The sequence below is a fragment of the Homo sapiens genome, chromosome 18, assembly GCF_000001405.40.
Source record: "Homo sapiens chromosome 18, GRCh38.p14 Primary Assembly".
NCBI classification, from domain to species: Eukaryota; Metazoa; Chordata; class Mammalia; order Primates; family Hominidae; genus Homo; species Homo sapiens.
This window is the reverse complement of record NC_000018.10, coordinates 57,740,495-57,759,606: the sequence shown is the minus strand read 5'-3', so window position 1 is coordinate 57,759,606 and position 19,112 is coordinate 57,740,495. Positions and strand designations below refer to the sequence as shown.

Sequence of the window (19,112 nt, the reverse complement as noted above, 5' to 3'; positions counted from 1 at the left end):
CCATCTCCTGACCTCGTGATCCGCCCGCCTCAGCCTCCCGAAGTGCTGGGATTACAGGCGTGAGCCACCGTGCCCGGCCCTTCCTGGTTTCTTTGATGACCACTTGCCATGAGTTACCAGATTATCTGTTAGGGATTAAAGGTTCACAAGGTGATTTTTTAAAAATTCTCAATGAATATTTACTTGGTTGCTGCTATTGGAGCTATCACCTTAGATTGAAATTTTGCTTAGGGAAGGTCCCTGGAGTTGTAAATATCTCGCCTAGAGGTTGATAAATTCACTGCAGTAATATGCTACCCTTAGGTTAAAGTTGAGTCTTTAAAGGAAAGCTAGACTTTAAGGACCTAGGGTGGTAGATGAGGACTTCTGTCTTGGAAAACAGAGAAAGAAAGGGAAGCAAGCCATCGTGGGATCTATGGATTTCTTTTTTTTTTTTTTTTTTTTTTTTTTTGAGATGGAATCTCGTTCTGTCGCCCAGGCTGGAGTGCAGTGGCACAATCTCAGCTCATTGCAACCTCCACCTCCCGGGTTCAAGCGATTCTCCTGCCTCAGCCTCCCAAGTAGCTGGGACTACAGGGGCGTGCCACCACGCCCGGATAATTTTTGTATTTTTAGTAGAGATGGGGTTTCACCATGTTGGCCAGGATAGTCTTGATCTCTTGACCTTGTGATCCTCCCGCCTCAACCTCCCAAAGTGCTGGGATTACAGGCGTGAGCTACCATGCCCGGCCTATGGATTTCTTTTAAGTTTTCCAGGAAAATGATTTATACATAGACATAAGACATAAATATTTCTCTACTTGCAAACAGTTGCCTGAGAAGTGACTTCTAGTGATTATAGGAGATATTGCTAAGTGAAAAAAGCTAAGTGCAAAAGAACATATATTTTCTACTTTTGTAAAAGAAAAAAGGAAACATAAGGAAAAATACAACTATCTTTTTTTTTTTTTTTTTTTTTGAGACAGAGTTTTGCTCTTGTTGCCCAGGCTGGAGTGCAATAGCACGATCTTGGCTCACCACAACCTCTGCCTCCCGAGTTCAAGCAATTCTCCTGCCTCAGCCTCCCAAGTAGCTGGGATTACAGGCATGCACCACTGTGCCTGGCTAATTTTGTATTTTTTTTTTTTTAGTAGAGACGGGGTTTCTCCATGTTGGTCAGGCTGGTCTCGAACTCCTGACCTCAGGTGATCCACCCGCCTCAGCCTCCCAAAGTGCTAGGATTACAGGCGTGAGGCACCGCGCCTGGCCTATCTTCTTATCTTTGTAAAACACACAGGACGGATAAACAGAAAACAGTAAAGTCGATTACCAACAAAGGGTGGGTGGGAACAAGGAGAAGGGGATATGTGAGGAGGGTTACTTGTCTAAGACACCCTTTTGCATAGTTTTGGCTTTGGGGAGCCTGTTAATGTCCTACATATTCAAAAATAAATTTAAATCAAGGATGGGGCCAGACTTGGTGGCTCATGCTTATAATCTCAGCACTTCGGGAGACTGAGGTGGGAGGATCGTTTGAGCTGAGGACCAAATGATCCTCCCGCCTAAGACCAGTCTGAGCTACACGGTGAGACCCCCATCCCTATTTTTTTAAGTTATATTTAAATATAAGTATATATATAATAGGGATAGGGGAAATCCTAAAACTGAGAGCAACATGAAATGAAGAAACCCAGTTGTATTTCAAATGAATTCCATAACCACAGTGAAGAGGGGAGAAAAAGAAATAATCCAGGGAGCTACGAACACAGTATTCTATGAGATATGCTCCATCTTGTCTAAAGTTGGGTGGTGAGGGAAACTCGCAAAGAAATTTTAAACTCTTACGATATACTTTATGTAGTGATACTGGCAAAGCAACTCTGAAACAGTTTTAGATGTATTTTAGCATTGAGCAAATGAGTTATTGTTTTGGAGAGCCAGGGTTCTCACTGAGAAAGAAGGAACATATAGAAAGGAAATGGGAGATGGGGGAAAAGAACATTGTGGGAATCAATTGGAATCAGAAGAATAGGTATGAACTGATTTCTGAAATACATGCATGTATAAGTATTCCCATGTACATGCGTGTGTGCATAAGTGTATATGTATGTGTGTGTGTGTATACATTTTTTACTTAGCTCTATCCATCAAAGGACCAGGACCAAGAAGCAAAGTCACCCCGCTAGTAACAAGCACATCAAGTGCCAAGATCTTGGTCTCTATTATCATTTCCCATTCAAAGGAACCAGGGGTACTGGGAGAAATGGCTGATTACAGGCTGGGGCAGGAGAGGTACAACTTGAGCCTGGAACATCTTGTTATTGTCACAAGGTATGGACATGCTGAAAGAATGATGGGAGCCTGTCACAAGGACACAGTGCTAGCTTGAAAGTGCTTTGATTGGCCAAACCAGGGACCATGTGGACACCAAAATAATTATGGACAGTAAGGAATTATATGCCATTGGAGAAAAAATAGGAATTTACACATCCATATTGATTACTAACTAATAAGTGGAAAGTAGGGAGGCTATGCTTACAGCGGCATGCTCAGGCTCACCAATATGCGTGGAGGGGATGGGTGCTGTGAAATCATCCTTTCATGGCCATTGTAGTAGAGACTGGATCAGGGGAGAATCATCCATGAGTGTCACGTTTAGGAGGAAATTGTGATAAGGAACGGGACATTTGCGATGTCTTAAAAGTGTCTCCCCACAAATTACAAGTTCAAAAAATACATACAGTGGAGAAATCAAACAACACGTTGACCACATGACCAAAGTATAAAATCAAAATGCAATCACCGACAAGGGGCAGAGACCTCACGTGCCTCCAGATGTCACATCTGAAAGGACGCAGCATCACCTATGTGATGTTCCAGCAAGAACAGAGACCTTGAATTAAATCACGAGGAAATGACAGAGAAAGCCCAAAAGTGGGAGGTTCAGTTTTAAAAAGAGAGAGAGAGAGAGAGAAGGAATACCATATTCTTTTAATGTCAGTGTTGTAAATGACAAATACAGGTTGTGGAGGCCGGGCACAGTGGCTCACGCCTGTAATCTCACTTTGGGAGGCCAAGGTGGGCAGATCACCTGAGGTCAGGAGTTCGAGACCAGCCTGGCCAACATGGTAAAACCGTGTCTCTACTAAAAATATAAAAATTAGCTGGGCATGGTGGCAGGCGCCTGTAATCCCAGCTACTTGGGAGGCTGAAGCACAAGAATCGCTTGAACCCGGGAGGCGGAGGTTGCAGTAAGCCAAGACCATGCCACTGCACTCCAGCCTGGGTGACAGAGATAAACTCAGTCTCAAATATATATATATATACATACACACACACATATATATGTTGTGTAAATATTTCATATATATATATGTGTGTGTGTATATATGTGTGTGTGTGTGTGTGTGTGTGTGTATATATATATATATATATGTTGTGGAAATGTTTCAGATTAAAGGACATGGCTACCTAAAGTAACACCTGATTCTAGACTGGATCCTGTGCTAGAGGAAAAATAATACTATAACTGACATCATTGGGTCAATGACGAAATCAGACTATTAGATAACTGTGAATGTTAATGTTAAATTGTCTGAAGTTGATAATTCTACTATGGTTATGTAAGAGAATGTGAGAGACTACCCCTGAAGTATTTAGGGGTAAAGGGGGATAATGAACTATATGTAACTTAAGCTCAAATGGTTCAGCAGTGAGCCTGGTGTCTGGGCGCGTGCAAGCCCTCTTCATCTGTCTGTCCCTGGCAGTGCTGCGCCGTTAATTATGTTATGGCTGGGGATTGGATTGAATTGGAATTGCACTGCTGTGACTCTGTAGAGAACAGGAGAGAATATAGGATTCTCTGTTTTCAAGGCCTGGAAACAATTAGAATATTGATCACCTCTAACCGCTTTTTAAACAGTTAAAAGTTAAAAGCTCCCTTTGGGAGTTTGCCTGTGTAAACTTATGTGAAGCCAGGCAGCTGACCAGAGCCTGGGATTCATGGATAATAACTACATCAGTCAGTAAACACACAAATAATCAAGAATTAACTTGATTAAGCGTCAATGTGAAACTGTCAAATCCGCAGGACATTTTATCAAGGCTTTTAATTTTTTTTTTAATTTTTACAAATGGAATGCTTCATGAATTTGTGTGTCATCCTTGTGCAAAGGCCATGCTAATCTTCTCTATATCATTCCAATTTTAGTATATGTGCTGCCGAAGCAAGCACATGTCCAGGATTTTTTTTTTTTATCTTGGTAGAGAAAAAATTAAGAGATTCAGTGTCTGTTATAATCTTTCCCTTCCCAAATGTTGATGTTATTATATAATGCATGAATTTTGCCATTTATGTAGGATGCTAGCATTAGAACCATTTAATAAGGCAAATCTGATGGGAGTGTAACATGAATATATGAATACTTTCAGCCCCGGGTTCTCCAATGCACAATTACACATTGTTGGTAAACAACCTGAGACTATTTTAGGCTGGCTGGTGTAATGTGTCTCTTATTGGCAAGATATACACTGGATATTGTGGCAGAGGTGTCAGATGTAAAGACAATTTCTATTTCTTAAAAAAACAAACACCATAAACAAAACCACTTTATCATTCTGAAAAATTCCACATTTACTCACTATGCAAAGATACCAACTCTAAGTTGCCTTGTTCATATTATATTCTAAATTCCAGAGTTTGGGGTTTGTGACATCTTTCAGGAGATCTGAAAAAGGCAGTAATGGATACACCCCAGGCTGCTTTGCTCTGAGCAGCTGGTAGAGTAAAATATTTAATATCTCTCTCACTACTAGGGTGACATTTTCCTGTGGCCTGAGACAGTAGGTTACGAGTTAGGTATTTCCCTTGCTATTAATGATTCAACACACGAAAGTAAATTTGAGCCCCGGCGTGGGCTGTAGTAACTTCTCAGCTGTCCCTGAAGTGTCAATTTGGTGATGTGTTTCTTCTCCTAGTATTTAATTATCTCACATAAGAAAAACAACAGCTAATATTTACTGAGCCTTCCTTTGGGTCAAGCCCTATTCCAGAGCTTTCCATATATTGAATCATTTTATCCTCACAGCAGCTGTAAAAGGCAGCTGCTATTGTTTTTACTCATTTTACAGATGATAAACTGAGGAACAGCAATATTACTTCATAATATATATATATATATATTTTTTTGTTAGACAGAGTCTCACTCTGTCACCCAAGCTGGAGTGCAGTGGTGTGATCTTGGCATACTGCAACCTCCGCCTCCCAGGTTCAAGCAATTCTCCTGCCTCAGCCTCCTGAGTAGCTGGGATTACAGGCATGTGCCACCATGCCTGGCTAAGTTTTGTATTTTTAGTAGAGACGGGGTTTTACCACGTTGACCAGACTGGTCTCGAACTCTTGACTTCAAATGATCCACCTGCCTCAGGCTCCCAAAGTGCTAGGATTACAGGCATGAGCCCCTGTGCCAGGCTGAAACTGATTCTTAAAAGAAAAAAATTGTAATGCACAAAAAGAACAAGTAAATGCTAAATATTCCTGTTTAACCAAAGAAGAAATATGCCTCCTCAAGTCCAATGCAAATGGAGTGGCCCTGACTCATAAAACATTATAGTTTTCTATAACATTTTCACTTTATTAAATATTCAGATGTATCTTTTTTTTTTTCTTTTCTTTCTTTCTTTTTTTTTTTTTTTTTGAGACAGAGTCTTGTTCTGTCTGTAGCCCAGGGTGGTATGTAGTGGCATGATCTCAGCTCACTGCAACCTCCGCCTCCCAGGTTCAAGCAATTCTCCTGCCTCAGCCTCCCAAGTAGCTGGGACTACAGAAGTGCACCACCAAGCCCAGCTAATTTTTGTATTTTTAGTAGAGATGGGGTTTCACCATGTTGACCAGGCTGGTCATGAACTCCTGACCTTAGGTGATCTGCCCGCCTCAGCCTCCCAAAGCGCTGGGATTACAGGCGTGAGCCACTGTGCCCGGCCTGTATTTCATTTTTTAAAATAATCTCCTCTTAACTGTCTATGAAAAGATTATTTAATATCTGAGTTTTCAAGATGGAGCCAATGGCTGCATAAAGCATGTGTTCCCTTCAGAGCCTGTGTTGGTGATTAGTACACATGTGCTTTACACAGTGGTGACCTCATGTTAATACATTGGTTTATGTGAAGGAGAGTTTTTGTTGTGTTGTTGTTGCCTTGTTTTAATTTAGAAAGATTTCAAACACATGTAGAAATAGTAAAATGAACCCCCTTGTTCATGGCCAAGGCCAATGTTGTTTTTATCTATAGATCTGTCCACTTCCTCTCTTTCCATATTATTTCCAAGTAAGCTCAGCCAATGCATCTTTTCATTCAACCTGGTTTTGAAATGTGGTTTGTTTCACTTGTTCATACCATGATCAAGGTGGTTTGCTGAGTATACTTTGAGGAAAGCAAAAATCTGTATCCAAGTAGTTATATTACTGGTTCTCTCTTCCCTTGTTGACACAAGAGAGATCTTTTTTTTCTTTAATCGGGGTTTTTTAAGCACTCTACTCTCTTATCTTGAAGTTATTGTCATCTAGAAAATATAGAATGTCTTAAATAATTACAGTTCTGTGGAACCTTACCCTGGGGGCCGGAGACAGTGTGATTGAGGAGAAAGGATGCAGGATTTGGATTCAAATGCTAAGATCTGGTTCTGGTTCCTCTACATCTTGTCATTTCTGAGAACCTGGATACAGCCTTGAACTCTGAGCTTGATTCTACATTTGGTAGTTCTTTATGAAAGTTCTACTGTGTGTTACATGCTGTTCTGGGCAATGGAGCTATTGCAGAGAATAAAATGAAAATAATCTACTTTTCAATGATGTTTTAGAGATAAGTATGTTAATGGTATCTGAAAAGCTTTTGCAAGCTGTGAAGTGCAATTATAAAAGTTTTTATTGTTTTCCTACTCTGTTTTTCACTTGAAAACTTCAGTTCCCTGATGTTTCAGGTTTACGATGGTTAATAATAAACTAAACTAAGCTTTATCGAAGGGGGAAATATAAGAATTATATCTGTGTGTGTTACTGAATTTCTGATGAAATGAATCACTGGAATGCCTCACTCAGTGGATATCTGGGGCCACATACTGTGCATGCTACTAAGGGCTTTACATGGGATCAAGATTAAGCTTCACAAGGACCCTGTAAGGTAACCATTATCTTCATGTTATAAATGGAGAAGTAGGAGCTTACTAAGAATATTTTTCCCAAGCTTCTGCAGGTAGCAGGCCTTAGAGCTGGGATTTCATCCCCTATCTGTCTAACCTCAGACAGGAGCCCTTAACCATTTCTTGATTCTGCCCCACTTGAGAAATAAGAGGAATAGGCCATGATCTTGCACCTTTAGATTATCATTTATTATTATTATTATTATCATTATTATTATTATTATTTGAGACAGGGTCTCACTCTATTGCCCAGGCTGGAGTGCCGTGGTGCAGTCATGGCTCACTGCAACCTCTGCTTCCTGGGCTCAAACGATCCTCCCACCTCAGCCTCTCAAGTAGCTGGGACCACAGGCACGCACCATAATTCCCAGCTAATTTTTGTATTTTTTTGTAGAGATAGGGTTTCGCCATGTTGCCCAGGCTGGTCTTGAACTCCTGAGCTCAAGCAATCTGCCCACCTCGGCCCTCCAAAGTGCTGGGATTATAGGCATGAGCCACCATGCCTTGCCTGCACCTTTGGATTTTTACTCTGTTAGAAACAAAAACAACCACAATACAAGCCATAATGCAAAGAATGGTTCAGGCAGTAAGTTGTTAAAGTACAAATGATAAAGACATTACATCGGGATTTGAGGACCTGGAAAAGGAATGAAGCTGCCTAGCTGCCCTTGTGAGTGTACTTGTGAGGGAGCAGAAGGTGGCTGGAGCTAGGGTGGGGCCTGCAATGGGCACAGTCAGAGCAGATAGAGCCTCTCCAAGTTCTAACGCATATGTGAAAATCTAGTAATTTCTATAATGAAGCACAACAGAAATGTCTATCAACAGATTTTGAAGATAATCTGGAAGCCTTGTAGATCCCCATTTGACCTATGGAAGCTGTTTCTTGAGAGTCATTGATTCTGATTTCAGAGTATGGTGAGTGTAATTGTATTTTGTGTTTGGTCCAGACAGCAAAATAAATTCCCTTTTTTTTTTTTTCAAGACAGCATCTTGGCTTACTGCAACCTCTGCCTCTCAGGATCAAGTGATACTCCTCCCTCAGCTGCCCAAGTAACTGGGACTACAGCTACACCACCATGCCCTGCTAAATTTAGTATATATATATATATTTTGTACAGCTGTGGTTTCACCATACTGCCCAGCCTGGTCTCCTGAGCTCATGTGATCCTCCTGCCTCAGCCTCCCAAAGTACTGGGTTACAGGTGTGAGCCACAAGCCTAGCCCAACATTCCTTATTGATAGCCTAAATTACTAATGTTTAAGCCATAACAAGCATTGATAAGATTTATTTTCTTATTCTATTTTATTTTTTGAGATAGTCTTGCTCTGTTACCCAGGCTGGGGTCCAGTGGCACAGTCTCTCCTCACTGCAACCTCTGCCTCCTGGGCTCAAGCAATTCTTGTGCCTCGGAATCCCAAGTGGCTGGGATTATAGCAGGTGTGCGCCACCACGCCCGGCTAATTTTCTGTATTTTTACTAGAGACAGAGTTTCACCATGTTGGCCAGGCTGGTCTCGAAGTCCTGGTCTCAAGCGATCCACCCGCCTTGGCCTCCCAAAGTGTTCAGATTACAGGCATGAGCCACCGTGCCCAGCCAAACATTGATAATATTTAAATACTCATGTGACACATGCAAACATGCACAAAGTTAGCTGTCATGGTTAGTGCAACATTGTTTTCTGTACCTGAGGTTTAAGCTTTGGAAAACTAAGACACAAATTCACTGTAGACACGTCTGTTAAGATGAAGGAGGAAAAGAGTAGGTTGGACTCTGAGGATGGGTAGGGCAATAGCCAGAATGAGCCTAGGAACTGATATATAAGGCAGGCCTAGCTGCGGAGCACTTGGAGGTGACCGTTTTGTGGCCCAAACACCAGCTTTTGCTCTTGAGTGTAGCTCAGTTTTTCATTGATGAATATTGTAGAAGAGCCTATGTCACAACTCCGAAATATTTGAAAGGATGGCATCATGTAAATCCAGAGCACAGTCTATTCAGAGCACTTTTAAAACATGCTTTGAAAATATTTTAATTAGCTCCAGATATCTAATAGTAAAGTTCAAATCCATGTGACATTTAAAGGCTTTTCAGTAATTTTCTTTGAGTTGTGCAGTGTGCAGGTACTCTTGATTTATTTCTGATTGCTGATTTAGGGACTATTTAAACCCCTAGTTTATTCTTTTTCTTTTTTTGAGATGGAATCTCACTCTGTTGCCCAGGCTAAAGTGCAGTGGCACAGTCTCGGCTCACTGCAACCTCCACCTCCCAGGTTCAAGCGATTTTTGTACTTCAGCCTTCTGAGTAGCTGGGATTACAGGCTCACGCCACCATGCCTGGATAATTTTCATATTCTTGGTAGAGACGGGGATTCATGATGTTGGCCAGGCTGGTCTCAAATTCCTGACCTCAAGTGATCCACCAAACTTGGCCTCCCAAAGTGCTGGGATTACAGGTGTGAGCCACTGCACCCGGCACTAAACCCCTAGTTTATCCTTAATGCTCTTCTCTCTATTCTTACACTAATTCCATTTTTTTCCTTTCTTTTTAAAAAGAGCTCTCGGAAGTTAGGATCAAAGTGTTAAAATAGCAAGTTGAGGCCAGTTAGATTTGCTATTGTTGGGAATTTATCCCTGGCATGATTTATTGATGGACAGCTGAAGGTTTGCTCACAAGAGTGGAGATGGGGTGGGAAGGAGATTGGTTGCTGGAAGGGAGAGAATCCTCTAGACAATTCAGCCAGAGCCTGCTTCCTCCCTAGACCTACAGGGGACAATGACAGTGAGCTCTGTTTCCTAAATAATGGATCAATCTTCCTGACTCAACTCAGAGTTCTATAGGGTGTCTTCACCTAAATCAGGTTAATTCGGGGGTAAGTTTTCAGGTTGGTAACATGTTGAATATATAAGAGCTTATAATAACATTAATTGAGTAAAAGTTATAAATAGTATTATGATAACAAGAGAGTTAAAGAGGATTGTTTTCATTGGAGTCCAGTTGCATTCAAGAGAGTCATTTTCTCTTTATAGGAGATGCAGGTTGATTGAAGTCTAGGTCTATGGAGAAGGGGAATGTGGAAAAGCAAAAAATATGCAAACATTTTGATTGGCTTTACATTTTATTTTATGTCAGAATCATAAGTATATATATTCTCTGTACTACTTGCCTTTGTGGGGTAGGGGCTGGAGATGGGGTGAGCATTGCTCAATCAAACCCAAGCCCTCATCACCATGTGCTACTGCACCCATGAAAGTACACAGAGATTTTAAAGGGGAAGCAAACATTGATTGGGAGGAGAAAATATCACAGCAGAAAAAAGTTCTAGAATACATTATCATTTTTCCTGGGGCCATGCTTTTTTTAAGAGGTGGAGCAGAAAGCATCTTTAATGGGCACTTCTTTAAAACTCCAAAACATTTTGAAGATGTTTTAATACATGTTGGATACTTCTATAGGTGTACCTTTTCTCTTAAATGCAAATCAGACTAGATGTTTGCACAAGGCCTGCATGAGTCATCCCTAGTTCAGCAGCCTGGCCTTATTTGCATTAAACACCAGTTGCAGTTCCTTCTGATTATTCTCTGCAAATAACTGTTAAACCTGGGTAAGCTGCAAAATTAAATTAAATTAAACTTTAAAATAGCATGTTAACCTTTGGGTAATTAGAAGAGAGAAAAGAAAACATGGTCATTTAGTTCTTATTTATATAACTTGTTACAAAAGGTAACCACAGTTTTTCCTTTTGTGCACATAGTCTTGGCAAAGGTGGATTCAGAATTTAAAGACATTAAGTAACAAATTTGCAGTACCTGACTGTGGAGTCCTCTGTTTGTTGGAATTAAGGAATTTGAAAGGCCCTCTCCGATGTTAAAGCTACACATTCAAGCCATATATTAGTTAGCTGGGGCTGCTGTAACAAGGTACCACACACAGAGCAGCTTAAAGAACAGAAGCTTATTGTCTCACAAATCTGGAAGCCAGAAGTTCAAGATCAAGGTTTTGCACGGCCATCTTCCCTGTGAGGGTGCTGGGGAAGGATCTGTTTCAGGATTCTCTCCTAGTTTCTGGAAGTTCCTTGGCTTGTGGCAGCATGTCTCCAAGGGATTTTATTCTGGTTACCCCTTATATGTCCTTGGGCAAAGAACTTAACCTCTCAGTTACAGTTTCTTTATTTGTAGAATGGGGATAATAATTTGATCCTCAAACAAAGTAAGCTAATGCGAATACATAGTGGAGAGCCTGATGCATAGAACACATAGTTAGCTCTCTGTAAACGCACGCCACCATCATCCTAGGAAAACATGGGGAGTTTCAGAAGCCTTACATCAGAAGTCTTACCATGGGTGCTTAAACTGATCAGATTTGTAGGAGAAGCTTGGACACACTCCTTATATTTGACCTGTTCAAACTCTGAAAGCCAGAACAGATAGAATTGCTGACTGTTGGTAGGAAGCTCTGTAGATATTTCAAGCCAAATGCAAGTATTTCCAAGGGACCTATAAAATATTAACCATATGTTTGCAGTAGAATCTTGGTCCAAAACTTAGGATATGAACTCTGCTGCCTTGGAAGAGTTTGTAATCTAAGTTGAGTACTCTAAGCTGACTTGAAATACAGCATAAGAGACAGTGATTAAATATCTCAGACCCAGAATTTGTAAAGGTGTTAACCTTCAGATGGAATGAGAGGTAAGGCTCTGTCGACCAGTCTTAGATGTTCAGGAAACCATGATAGTATCTAGAAAAGATACCAAGTAAGTGCCCTAATCATACTTAATGTGCCAATCACCTTAGTGTCTGTTTAAGCTTTGGAACATGTTTACATATAAATATTTGGAAATTTGAGACAGATTTACAAATGAAAAGGAGCCATGTGGGAATTTTAAGAGCATCTGTTTGTATTTGCAGCTGAAGCCACAGCTTTGGATACAGATCACTAAGGAGAGCCACTGACTTTTCTTTCTTTCTCTTTTTTTTTTTTTTTTGAGATAGAGTTTTGCTCTTGTCACCCAGACTGGAGTGCAGTGGTGGGGTCTCAGCTCACTGCAACCTCCACCTCCCGGGTTCAAGCAATTCTCCTGCCTTAGCCTCCCAAGTAGCTGGGATTGCAGGTGCCTGCCACCACGCCTGGCTAATTTTTGTATTTTTAGTAGAGATGGGGTTTCACCATGTTGGCCAGGCTGGTCTTGAACTCCTGACCTTAGGTGATCCACCCACCTCGGCTTCCCAAAGTGCTGGGATTACAGGTATGAGCCACCACGCCCGGCCTGGGCCACTGACTTTTCAAGCTATCTTTGTCTCTGGCCCCTCTCCAAGGCACTCAAGGTCCATTGTCCTTAGTGCTAAGTAATGGTTGGGGATCTTTGCTGAGGATCAGCAAGGGCTCTTGGAGGAAATGGTGGACCCAGACTACATTTCATGCAGCTCACCATCCTTAGGAGGGAGATGGAATCTTCTGTTTACTAACACACCAGAAAGGTATAATACAAGGGACAAAATGTGGCAAGTTTCAACTCTTCTGCCTTGACATGCAAACCATCCCTTCTGAGCTCACTTCCATGCACCATGCACAGTGGATTCCATGAACCCACTTCCATGCTACCATTTTTGTTTTTGTAATCATTTGCAAAGAGACAGAATGATATTAAGAAAGTATCAGTGGCTGGGCACAGTGGTGGCTCACACCTACAATCCTAGCACTTTGGGAGGTCAAGGCAGGTGCAACACTTGAGGTCAGGAGTTTGAGACCAGGCTGGCCAATATGGTAAAACCCTGTCTCTACTAAAAATACAAAAATTAGCTGGGCTTGGTGACATAGACCTGTAATTCCAGCTACTCAGGAGGCTGAGGCAGGAGAGAATTGCCTGAACCAGGGAGGCGGAGGTTGTAGTGAGCAGAGATCACACCACTGCACTCCAGCCTGGGAGACAGAGTGAGACTCTGTCTCAAAAAAAAAAAAAAAAAAAAAAAAGTAAGCATCAGTGGGCATAATCCTAATGGCCTGATCCAACTTTTCTCCCCCTTTGAACAGCACCAGGACAAATCGTAAGAGATTTGGGGACAAACAGACCTGGTTGAAACCTCAATATGTGACCCTGGAGAAGTATGCCACCTAACCTCTTCAAGCCCACAAAATGAGGATAAGCCCTTCCTTTTGTGTGTGCTGTAAAAATTGCATGAAATGTACCCAGTATATGAGCAATTGCTCAGCAGTGTTTGGATATAGGGAGTGGATAGCTATTATTAATTGCAGATTATTTTGGAAGGAAAAACACACAGAGAATTATGTATCTTTCAGTGCAAATGTTAGTTCTAAAAACAATCATATTATTTACAAAGCTGCAGTTATAGAACACAATTCTGATTTCTGCCTCACCCCCACGGTTAATACTGTAAAACATTTCCTACGTTTCATCTGATAGTGTTATTAAAAATAGCTGTTATTTTTAATAGCTATACTAAAACATAAAAATGTTTAGGTCAGGCGTGGTGGCTCATGCATATCATCCCAACACCTTGGGAGGTTGAGGTGGGAGGATTGCTTGAGGCCAGGAGTTTGGGATCAGCCTGGGCAATGTAGTGAAACCTCGTCTTTACAAAAATTTTCTCAAAATATTAGCCAGTTGTGGTGTCATTTGCCTGTGGTCCCAGCTACTTGGGAGGCTGAGGTGGGAGGATCACTGAAGCCCAGGAGGTTGAGGCTGCAGTGAGTCATGATCATGCCACTTAACTCCAGCCTGGATGACAGTGCAAGGCCCTGCGTCAGAAAAAAAAAAAAAAAATTGTAAAACCATGAGATCTTGTTGGACACTCATGTGGTTTCCATTCCTGCTTTTTATAACTAATGACGCCAATCAAAAATTTTGTGGCCAGGTGCAGTGGCTCACTCTTGTAATCCCAGCACTTTGGGAGGCTGAGGCAGGCAGATCGCCTGAGGTCAGGAGTTCAAGACCAGCCTTGCCAACATGGTGAAACCCTGTCTTTACTATAAATACAAAAATTACTCGAGCATGGTGGTGCATGCCTATAATCCCAGCTACTTGGGAAGCTGAGGCAGGAGAATTGCTTGAGCCCGGGAGGCGGAGGTTGCAGTGAGCCGAGATCTCCCCACTGCACTACAGCCTGGGTGACAGAGCAAGACACTGTCTCAAAAAAAAAAAAATTTGTTTCAGTAAGAGTCCTTTCATTGAAGTATTCCTGTTGGAAAAGGCTCTGTAAATGAGGTGATTGCTTCAAATATATCTTTAGTGTTTTGGGTACATAAAGCGTGGCCATCAGTAATACATATACTAATTTCAAGGCCAGCAGCAAGGTGGGTGAGGATTCATTCATCTCCACTGCTGACATTGAAAACATTGAATAGTGTCAACTGAATAGGCATAAAATGGTGTCTATGTTTTCATCAACTTGTCATTCTTTGATTGCTAGTAAGAGTAATCTTTTATTGTATCATTTTATGTGTTTATTATTTCTATTTACTTATCTGCCTCTTCTACTGCCTTTTCATTCAAATAAGCCATTCCTAGTGAGTCTGGATGGGGAATATAAGTTGTCTCTCTGTAGATCAAAAGTTTCAAAGTTTATATTTTGTTCCAGAAAGCTATGATGTTTTGTATGTCTTTCGGGAGTGCAGTCTTTGTATTAATAGCTTGGTGACTCTTCTAACATTAAAATTAATTCAGCTTGACAGACTTATTTTACCCTGAAGGGTTTGCTTCCAGGTAGCTGTCAATTATAAAGCTCCTATGACTTTGTATTATTTAAACATGAATATAACTTTAAAGCCTAATTATAGAGTCAATAGTAATGGGGTAAAAATGAGGCCATTGTCCCTAACAACTAAGGATGACGCTTGAACGTAAAAATAACCAGGGTTTTCTCCTGGTAACTTTCATTATTTACTATAAAAGTACATTGTGGATTGAGGCCGAGTCTCCAAAATAAACATCTGGGGAAATGACAGCATTCTTATCCTATGGGAACCAGCCCCAGTCTTTTATTTACTTTTTTTTTCCTTCATTTTCTAGACAAAAGAATGGCAGCCCCACCCTGCCTTCATTTTAAGCACATTTTTCTGGCTGCCACCACCCTAGTTCAGGCCTGTATTTCTTTCTTTTTTTTTTTTTTTTTTGAGACAGTCTCACTCTGTCACCCAGGCTGGAGTGGTGCCATCTTGGCTCACTGCAACCTCTACCTCCCGGGTTCAAGCGATTCTCCTGCCTCAGCCTCCCAAGTAGCTGGGACTACAGGCACACACCACCATGCCTGGCTAATTTTTGTATTTTTAGTAGAGATGGGGTTTCACTGTCTTGGCCAGGCTGGTCTCAAACTCCGGACCTCAGGCAGTCAGCCCACCTTGGCCTCTCAAAATGTTAGGATTACAGGTGTGAGCCACCGCGTTCGGCCCAGGCCTGTATTTCTTCTTGCTGTGGCTAGATTCATGCACTGAGTGTTGTTGCTGAGTGTGATGGTGGAGGTAATAAGGTAGAACCACTTGGTGTTCCAGGTGAAGAAACTGTGACAAGGAGATGCTGTTTCCAGGGTGACTTTTGAACAGTCTCCCTCCCAGGCTCTCACCTTCCCAGTCACCCTTCCCCCTGTCAGATGAGTGCTGTGCAGATCAGATTTCTTTCCTTTGCAGACACCTTCCATGGGCCCTCTAACTCCCTGGAATAAAGCCTTCTCAAGGCTGCATGAGCTGCCTTACTTTTGGAGGTGACTCCAAAACTACCTTTCCCCAGCTCTGCTCTTTCCCCCAGATCTCCCACCTGCGCCGGTGCTGGGCCTTTCCATTGCATTTTCCTGCCTCTGAGGTTTTTTTAGTTCCTTAATATCTCTCTCCCACCCACCCCAAGTTCTTGCTCACCTCTGTGACTCCCAGGTTGCCCAGCTCAAAAACCGTCTAGGAAATAATGATTGCTCTCACTTCACTCTTCAGCGGCATACATTGGGAAGCATTTTACATTTTAGAATTCACTGGTGTAGGATAGATCTGCCTGTAGACCTCAAAGTTTGATATTTTTTGCTTGTCAAATTCTTCCTTTGCTTAGGGTTTTCTTGTGACTAATGATGTTGTTAGTAGGTGTGGGGAAGGGAGGGAAGTAGGTGATGTTGGGAGTGGAGAGCAGGCTCTGATGCTTCCTGGGCAGAGCTTGAATTCCAATCTGAATCTACGATGCGTTCACTGTACCACAGAGAGCACAGAGCTGGGATATGTGTGGAAAGGGCCTGAATAGCTAGGAGCTAAATCACCCTGGGCAAGCTTTGAAACCACCTCAGTTTTTTCATTAGTAAGAAGGTAATGACATTGCCTGGCGACATGCCTCAGCATAATTCCATGACAATTGCATGAGACAATCTGTATGAAAAATCCTTTGTCCTGGAAGGGGCTGCCTTTTATGGATAAGAAGAAATATAATATTACTAGGAAATGCTGTGAGCCCATGGCAATGCTGGACTAAGAAATCCTTTGAACCTTAGCCAGGGGAATGAAAAAGCTGCTCATCTCTGAAATGTCAAGGTTTTGAGATTTCCCCTGTACCTTTTCTAATGACCGCATTGAAGTTGTACAGAATGAAACAAGAACCAGTCTGTTTTGTTTTTTTTTTTTTTATAGAGATGGGGTCTTGCTCTGTCACCTAGCCTGAAGTTAAGTGGCAAGATCCTAACTCACTGCAGCCTTGAGCTCCTGGGCTCAAGCGATCCTTCTGCCTCAGCCTCCCAAGTAGCTGGGACTACAGGTGCCCAGCTAATTCTTTAAATTATTATTTGTAGAGATGGGGTCTTGCCATATTGCCCAGACTCGTCTTGAACTCCTGGCCTCAAATGATCCTCCTGCCTCAGCTTCCCAAAGTGCTGGGATTACAGGTGTGAGCCACCACACCCAGGCAGCCAATCTTCCTTTGTGAGAAAGGGCTCTGGGGCGGATTTTCTGAGGAATAGGGGGTGAAGCTGTGGACTCAGAGAAGCCTTTTCTATCATATGTAAAGATCCTGGCTGAATTGTCCCCACCACAGTGATACTGTTGATACCTTAGTTTTATGTTATTTATCCCAGGCTTCTAGATTTTTTAGGTCCTGCCTTGGGAGGAAATAAAAAATGTAATCCTGTTCCTGCTGGGAACTGTAATTACGCTGTTTCTATAACAGTATAAAGTTTAAATTTAATGCAGATCTTAGATACATTTTATTACTATTGCTTCATGAGATTCTTTATCTAATTACAACTGTCATCAAGTTTGTCATTTTACTTTCAAGAATACTGAGCATTGGCCAGGCGTGGTGGCTCATGCCTATAATCCCAGCACTTTGGGAGGCCGAGGTGGGTGGATCACTTGAGGTTAGGAGTTCAAGACCAGCCTGGCCAACAAGGTAAAACCCTGTCTCTACTAAAAATACAAAAATTAGCCAGGTGTGGTGGCATGCACTTGTAGTCCCAGCTACTGGAAAGGCTGAGGCAGGAGAATCATTTGAACCTGGGAGGCAGAGGTTGCAGTGAGCTGAGATCACACCACTGGACTCCAGCCTGGGTGACAGAGTGAGACTCTGTCTCAAATAAGTAAATAAAAGAATACTGGGCAGACTCCAAACAGGGTGTGGCATGTGTCTGGACTAACTAGGAAAATAGAGAAGATTTCTGCTACCTTTTAGATGGGGGCTCTTTGGAATAACTTGGAAATAATAGTGGCTACATTGAGTGCCTGACCCTAGAATTACTGCTTGTGACTAATGGTATGTGTATTGGTTGTCGATTGCTGTGTAACAAGCTACTCCAAAACTTAACAGCTTAAACCAACACGCATTTATTATCTCACAGTTTCCATGAATCAAGTGTCTGAGCACAGCTTAACTGGGTTCTCCGTATTAGGATTTCTCACAAGGCTACAATTAAGGTGCCAGCCCAGCTGATGTCTCATCTGAAGGCAGGACTGAGGAAGGATCTGCTTTCAAGTTCATGTAGTGATTGCAAAATTCACTGCATTCCTTAAGGACTATTGGACTGAGGGCTCCAGTCCCTGCTGGCTGTTGGTCAATGCTAACTTCACATCTTGCCATGTGAGCCTCTCCATAGGGCAGCTGCTTCACCAAAGCAAGGAAGGGGAAAGAGTTGGCTGGCAACAAGAAGTCATGGTTTTTTATAACCTAATCATGGAAGTGACATCCCATTACCTGCGCCATATTCTATTGGTTAGAAGCAAGGTTCAAGCTGGGCACAGTGGCTCATGCCTGTAATCCCAGCACTTGGGGAGGCCAAGGTGGGTGGATCCCAAGATCAGAAGTTCAAGACCAGCCTGGCCAGCATGGTGAAACCCTGTCTCTACTAAAAATACAAAAAATTAGCCTGGCATGGTGGTGCACGCCTGTAATCCCCGTGACTTGGGAGGCTGAGGCAGGAGAATTGCTTGAACCAGGGAAGTGGAGGTTGCAGTGAGCCAAGATCGCGCCACTGTACTCCAGCCTGGGCAACAGAGCAAGACTCCATCTCAAAAAATAAAGCAGCAAGGTTCAGGAACTCAGGCTTATTTTAAAAAAAAGAAAATGAAGAAGAAGAAAGAAGGAAAAGGGGCTGGATATGGTAGCTCATGCCTGTAATCCCAGTATTTTGTGAGGCCAAGGAGGGAGGATTGCTTGACCTCAGGAGTTCAAGAGCATCCTGAGCAAACTAGCAAGACCTCATCTCTACTAAAAACCAAAAAAATTAGCTGGGTGTGATGGTGCACACCTTTAGTCTCAGCTACTTAGGAGGCTGAGGCAGGAGGATCACTTGAGCCTGGGAGATTGAGGCTGCAGTGAGCTTGATCACCCCAGTGTACTCCAGCCTAGGTGACAGAGCAAGAACTTGAATCAACAACCAAAAAAAAAAAAAAAAAGGAAGAAAAAAGAAGCAAACCACCTCATGTGTATGCCACACTCACAGGAAATTAAAGATGTGAACACCAAAAGGT

The 19,112-nt window shown here is 42.2% G+C and overlaps 1 protein-coding gene and 1 pseudogene across 12 annotated transcripts in view; one reads left to right on the top strand and one right to left on the bottom strand.

The window, feature by feature from the left end:
* ATP8B1 (ATPase phospholipid transporting 8B1) overlaps window positions 1-19,112 on the top strand; it is a 156,890-nt gene that overhangs the window by 43,709 nt on the left and 94,069 nt on the right. Inside the window, exon 1 of one of the 12 annotated variants that reach the window (XM_047437546.1) lies at window positions 7,697-8,089. The exons of the other annotated variants lie outside the window; for them this stretch is intronic. The gene's annotated coding sequence lies outside the window, so the exon portion shown is untranslated. Of the gene's footprint in view, window positions 1-7,696; window positions 8,090-19,112 lie in introns of those variants that run through there. 12 annotated transcript variants of the gene reach the window in all.
* On the bottom strand, window positions 4,113-4,213 carry RNU6-742P (RNA, U6 small nuclear 742, pseudogene; annotated as a pseudogene).